Source organism: Homo sapiens, chromosome 8 (genome assembly GCF_000001405.40).
Source record: "Homo sapiens chromosome 8, GRCh38.p14 Primary Assembly".
NCBI lineage: Eukaryota > Metazoa > Chordata > Mammalia > Primates > Hominidae > Homo > Homo sapiens.
In genome coordinates this window covers 143357581-143364121 of record NC_000008.11, presented here as the reverse complement: position 1 = coordinate 143364121, position 6541 = coordinate 143357581, and the positions used below count along the sequence as shown (strand labels likewise).

General features: G+C 55.2%; 1 protein-coding gene across 8 annotated transcripts in view; it reads left to right on the top strand.

Moving 5' to 3' along the window:
• The first annotated feature begins 4144 nt into the window (after nt 1–4144).
• Nucleotides 4145–6541, top strand: part of TOP1MT (DNA topoisomerase I mitochondrial) — a 50654-nt gene continuing 48257 nt past the window's right edge. For 4 of the 8 annotated variants that reach the window (NM_001258446.1, XM_047421333.1, XM_047421330.1 and 1 more), the window contains exons 1-2: nt 4145–4247; nt 4718–4858. Coding sequence is in view for 3 of the 8 variants with exons in the window: in XM_047421333.1 (XP_047277289.1) it covers nt 4732–4858 (127 nt within the window). In the remaining 5 variants the exon portion in view is untranslated. Of the gene's footprint in view, nt 4248–4717; nt 4859–6541 lie in introns of those variants that run through there. The other 4 variants (NM_001258447.1, XM_047421336.1, XM_047421339.1 and 1 more) reach the window with 2 other exon arrangements.

Genomic DNA, 6541 nt, shown 5'->3' with positions numbered 1-6541 from the left:
ACTTACTGGCACTGATCCCAGCAGCTGGATGCACCTGTGGCGTGTTTTATACAACTGAAGCGACCATGGCCTTCTGTGGTCCAGCCTGGTGCAGAGCCCACCGCCATAGAGCAGTGATACTGGAACGTGTGTGAGGGTTGCCGGTGGGTTCCACGGGGCGGTGGGAGGAAGAGGTGTAGAGGACTCCGACACTGTTTTGGCCTTGGCAGCTCAGAGATGGCTGGTGTGACCACCATACGGGGACGGTTTGGGAGGAGGAGGTTTCGGCAGGCAGAGCCTTGGGTTTGGGATGCTGGGCTGGAGCTTCTCTCACACAGCTCAGGGGAAGGGTCCTGAAGGCTGCCGAGTCTCCAGCTCAGGGGCCAGGCTGGAGGCCAAGGTCCACACTGTAGACGTCTTTGCTATACAGTTGCTGGGGACAGAGTGCCAGGATAGTTCACGACAGTGGGCCCAAGGAGGAGGGCAACAGAAACAGGGTCAGGTGGCCCCCAGGAGCTCAGGGAGGAACCAGTTCCAAGGGAAGCCAGTGACCAACACATGCGCCATCCTGCGCCATTGACAGCAAGACCAGGCTGCCAAGAGTGGAGGAGGCTGGTGGAGACCCTGTTGGAAGTGGTCTCAGGGGGCTTTGAGAGTGAGACCTTTTCTTTTTGAGACAGGCTGTCTCATTCTGTTGCCCAGGCTGGAGTGCAGTGGTGTGATCACAGCTCACTGCAGTCTTGAACTCCTGGGCTCAAACAATCCTCCTGCCTCAGCCTCCCAAGCAGCTGGGATTACAGGCATGAGAAACCATGCCTGGCTCATTTTTGTATTTTTTGTAGAGACAGGGTCTCCCCATATTGCCTAGGCTGGTCTCGAACTCCTGGGCTCAAGTGATCCGCCAGCCTCATGAAAGTGTTGAGATTACAGGCATGAGCCACTGCACCCAGCCAAAGAATGAGAGTGCTTCAACGGGGATTAAGGTGAGTCAGAAGAGCAGAGACGGCCATAGGGAGTGGGCACATTTGAATTCTGAGGACAGGTGCAGTACTGTTTGTGGGGCCAGGGGAGGGCTGATGGGTGGCTGGCACTTAATAGGGGGCGTGAAGTGTTCAACCACGGTAACAGGAGAGAAGATGGAGGGGAGCAGAGGTTTGGTGGGTGGGGGGCACAGGCGGGACAGATGCCGTGTTGGGAGTGTGGGGTACCTCTGTGGATTGTCCCCAGGTGTCAGTGACACAGGAAGCAAGGCCTCTGCCCAGAGTGGCCAGGGAGGGGAAGCGGGCAGGACGGGCTGAGGACAGGGGCCGGGGCCCAGCCGAGGTACATGGAGGCTCAGAAGACCGAAGGCTGGGCTGGACCAGGGCTTAAAGGGAAGGAGAGGGGCAAGGGCCAGCCCCGTGGTGGCTCAGATGAGGATTGTGTCTCGCTGAAGTATTGTGATGCACACAAGAAAAACGTTCTTTTTTAAAAATATTTTATTTAATTTTGAGACGGAGTCTTGCGGCCGGGCATCATGGCTCACGCCTGTAATCCCAGCACTTTGGGAGGCTGAGGCGGGCAGATCACGAGATCAGGAGATCGAGACCATCCTGGCCAACGTGGTGAAACTGCGTCTCTACTGAAATACAAAAAATTAGCTGGGTGTGGTGGTATGTAACCCGGGAGGCAGAGATTGTAGTGAGCCGAGATCGCGCCACTGCACTCCAGCCTGGTGACAGAATGAGACTCCGTCTCAAAAAAAAAAAAAAAAAAAAAAAAAAAGAGACGGAGTCTTGCTTTGTCGTCCAGACTGGAGTGCAGTGTTGCGATCTTGGCTCATAGCAACCTCCGTCTCCTGGGCTCAAGAGATTCTCCCGCCTCAGCCTCCCGAGTAGCTGGGATCATAGGCACGCGCCACCACACCTGGCTAATTTTTGTATTTTTAGTAGAGACAGGGTCTCACCATGTTGCCCAGGCTGGTCTCAAACTCCTGGCCTCTAGTGATCCGCCTGCCTCCGTCTCCCAAAGTGCCGGGATTACAGGCATGAGCCACCACACCCGGCCAAGATAAAAGTTCTTAATTCCAAGGACTGTTAATCATTTGTGACCTAATCTAGATTCAGTCTGGATGGAGTCTCTGATGTCATTACTGAATACCTTGTTGTCAGACATTTTTGGATACAATTTATAGTTTTTGAGCCCTTCCCAGTCAACTGAGGCCAAGGCTTTTTCCCCAAATCTGAGACCACCTAGGCATAGCTACCCTCGAAAATGTACATCATCAGGAAATATGGATCATCTATTTACCAAGCAAAAGAGGGAGCATTATTCAGTGGAATCAAAACCTTCTTCTCCCTGAAAACCTGTTTCTATTTTCCACGTGTGACTAATTTTTAATCTCGGTGACTGAGCGGTAATGGTGTTGTCACTGATGCTGACGATGGGCTTTTTAAAAAGCATATGATCTATGCTGCCTTCATAGTATCCTTTTTTGGTTATTGTTTCTGTGGCTTTCTGAGTAAAATAAGCTCAGCGTCTGTGGCTCTAGCAACCCCGGCGCCATTGTAGAGGAGATGCCATCTGCATGCAAAGGTTCTGCGGTGCCTGCTCCACAGAAGGCTGCCTCTCCTGGCCATTACTCACCACAACAGGAAAACAGCTATCTGCCTATGTCCATTTGTTAAGAAGGCAGTAACATGGCATCTTTAATAAACTCAAATAAATGCACTAAAACTTATCACAAAATAGCCAAGTTGTAAAGTGAAGGAGTGTTTGTAATAACCTCTTCTGTCTTCCCCAAGTGTACGTTTTCCAGGCAGTTCTCCTTACCGTGACAGGGCTTTAGGGCCAGAAGACAGCGCCACTCACCGGACCACCCAAACTAGAAGCCTGGGCACCATCCTCAACTCGCTCATTCTCATTTCCACACCCTACTAATTATCAGACACCTCCCCTCAACCTCTGCAGGCCTGCGGTTTAGGCTCCTACTGTCTCTGGCCTGACCAAGCCCTGTTTCCTCCTGACCTGCGAGCAGTGTGCCCACTGGTGCCATCATCTCTCTGCAACATACAGGGGATCATGTGGGGGTGGTGCTCCCCGGTGCCCGCACCATCGTGTCAACACGCGCCAGCCCTTCCCCAGCCCCACCACGCACACACATGCAGTGCGGCTGACGCTCTCAGCACCCTGCCTTTCCCATGCACCCCAACGCCCCCCCGCCCCCAGCACCTGCAACTTCCTGCCTGAGCGCTTTTCTCAGTGCTTAGGGGTGCTGGCCTATGCCCGGGGCTTGCTGGAAGTGCAGTTGGCAGAGGTGGGGCGGCAAGGATGGCCCCTCAAAACCAGAGCAAACCCACTCGGAACTGTGTCCTGTGCTCTCCCAGAGGCCTCCAGGAGGACTAGTCCAGGGGCCCCGGCTCTCACCTGCTCCCCAACACGTGTACTTCCCTACTCCCTTACCTGTGCTTCCTGAGTCCACCTCCCGGATAAAATACCTGCAGGAAGAGCCTGCTTTGGAGGGAGCCGTACTCCACACTGGCCACCGGTGGCCACTTGCCGTGCCCTTGTACACAGAGCTCCCTCTCGGCCTGGAGGCCTTCGTCCATTCTGCTACCGCGGCCACATCCGCTCAATTTTCCAGACTCAGCCTCTGGGATCTCACGTCACCCCAGACTCACGGACCCCGACATGGCGCATCCTGCACCCCACGGGTGTGGCCTGGCGGCCCTCCTCCTCCCAAGCACTATGTTCAGGCTGAGTGGAGACTCTCGCTAGCAATGTGCAGGCTGCTAAGCAGATGCGACCCGGTGACAGCTTGCACCTCAGGCCTTGCTCCTTGAGCTCCTTGCTCCATGAGCTTTTCTCAAAATACGATCCTCTTTATCTTCAGAGTCGCAGAAGCGCTGCAGGGACTGGCGAGACTCCACCACGTCGCGGAAGCCAACAGCACGTCGGCCCAGGAACGCCCCTCCACCCCGGCCGGCCGCCTCCCACCCCACCTCCTGGGTGCCCGTCAGCACCGCGGCCCACGGAGCGCGCGAGCCCAGGGGCCCAACCGAGCGCAGCCACCGGACGCCCCGCGTGGCCACCGCGTGGGCCTCTCCCGCGCCTGCGCAGCCCGCCCCCTTCCCGGCAGCACCGGCGGCGTCAAGGCAGGCACGTGGCGGCGGCTGCGCATGCGCGGGCTCGGGCCTTCCCGGCGTCTCCGCGCAGGCCTCGGGGAAGCGGGGTCCGGGGGAGCCGTGGTGCGGTGGGACCGCGTGGGTCCTGGAAGAGCTGCAGAGGAGGTGGGACTCGGCCTGAGGGCGCAGGGCCACCAGGAGGGAGGGGTCAGGCGGGGCCCTCAGTGGCCCTCTTCCTGTGGGTGACCCAGGTCGCGCTGTTGGTGACGACCTCCCACATCCCTCGCCTCTCCGCGACTCCTCCGTGTACCTCCCCCTCCGCGCACGACGCCACCAACGTGTCCCCTCCTCCTCTGTGTCCCCCCTCCGTGTGCTTCACCCCTCAGTGTTTCCTCCATCTCCATGGGCCCTCCTTTTGTGTCCCCCCTCCAGGCCCCCTTGTTCTCTTCCCCCTTCGCTTACCCCTCCCGCTCGGTGTCCTCTCCCCTGGCTGCCCCACCCCTCCTCATCGCTCCCTTGGCTCCTGACTTTCTGCTTGGGCCCTGCACCTGGCCAGCGGTGCCGGTCTGGCTGCCTAGGAAAAGGGTCTGGAAACGGCCGTCGCTGATGGGATTCCGCTCTGTCTTCTGCCCCAGAGTGACGGCTTTGGATGCGCTTTGCCCCAGGGCCTTTCTTCCCGGAGTTGGCCTTTTCCCTGCCCTTCTCTTCTCCTGGCGTGGTGACCTGCCTCCCTTCTCCTGGATCGCTTTGCTGGCAGCCACCTTGTAACACCTCAGGTTTGCAGCTGTTTTTTTTTCTTTTGGTCTGGCGCATCTAAAGCCATAAGCTCCCAGCTAAAACCCAAGAACAGGCTATTTTCAGGGGAGTCTCTATGCAGCATTCAAAATAGTCTACTTAAGGGCCGGTGCGGTGGCTCACACCTATAATCCCAGCGCTTTGGGAGACTGAGGCAGGAGGATCGTTTGAGCTCAGGGTTTGAGACCAGCCTGGGCAACATAGTGAGACCCTGTCTCTAAAAAAAAAACCAAAAAACAGAAAACAAAAAAAACGCTTTACTTAATAGTGATTTAAAAAACATGAACATGATGGCATATCACACCCAGGAATATGCTCCAGACCGGCTAATGGAAACTTTCTAGTGAGCCTGGTTGCGTAGTAATGGGGTCAGGAATAAGCACCATCCTTTGGTGGTTGGAGCCAACAGAGGCTCGTGGCCGGTTGCCTCTCCTGCCCTCTCAGCTGCTGCTGTGTTTTCGGTGTCACTCCAGCCGCAGGTGCAGCAGTGTCCCTGCTGCCTGGGTCCAGGCTCACCTCTGTGGAACGGTCCTGCTGCTCACCCCAGGGCCCTGGAGATGTGTGTGTTTTCTTGCAGGTGGGGACACTCAGTTGCAGATAGGTGATGGGAGACAGTCGGGGCCCAATTTGAAGCAGTTGCCAGTGGATGATAAAGTTGCTCTCAAGAGGTAGCAAATACTTTTGGGAAGCAGTGGCCTTTGCATGTTTATGATGATGGATTTTGTTGCTGGGGGTGCTTCACCTGCTTGCCCAGCTCTTGTAACATTCGGGTCTAACCTCATCACTACAATGGTAGAGAATGGGGTGGAAGGAGCTGTCTGGGCTGTAGGTCCTGTCTGAACCACAGCCCAGGATCAGAACAGGGGAGGAATGGGAGGGGCGTGATGTCACTGCTTTCCTGTGAAGTTTATGTTTCTTCCTGTCAAAAACATCATTTTGGCACTGGTGTTGCCGTTTCTTCTTTGGAGTTACAGGAGCGTATTTCTTTGATTAAAGGAAGAGAGAGAGTACTGGGCAGATAAGGCTGGAAAATGCAAAGAAGCTCAAAGTGAAGAAGCCAAAGCATAAAAATCAGGGAAGACAGGGCGAAGACCAGGTTCCAGCCTTTTATTTACTGTGAATGTTTCATTTTTATTTATTTATATTATTACTTTTGTGTAGAGACAGAGTCTTGCTGTGTCACCCAGGTGGGAGTGCAGTGGTGATCATAGTTTACTATAACCTCAAACCCTTGGGCCCAAGTGATCCTCCGCCTCAGCCTCTCCAGTAGCTGGGACCACAGGCGTGTGCTACCATGCCCAGCTAATTTTTTTTTTTTTTTTTGAGACGGAGTTTCGCTCCTGTCACCCAGGCTGGAGTGCAATGGTGCAATCTTGGCTCACTGCAACCTCTGCCTCCCAGTTTCTAGCGATTCTCCTGCCTCAGCCTCCTGAGTAGCTGAGACTACAGTCGTGTGCCACCACACCCAGCTAATTTTGTATTTTTAGTAGATACGTGATTTCACCATGTTGGCCAGGCTGGTCTAGAACTCCTGACCTCAGGTGATCCGCCTGCTTCAGCCTCCTAAAGTGCTGGGATTACAGGCGTGAGCCACCGCACTTGGCCTAATGTTTTTATTTTTATTTTTGTAGAAACAAGGCCTGACTATGTTGCTCTGACTGATC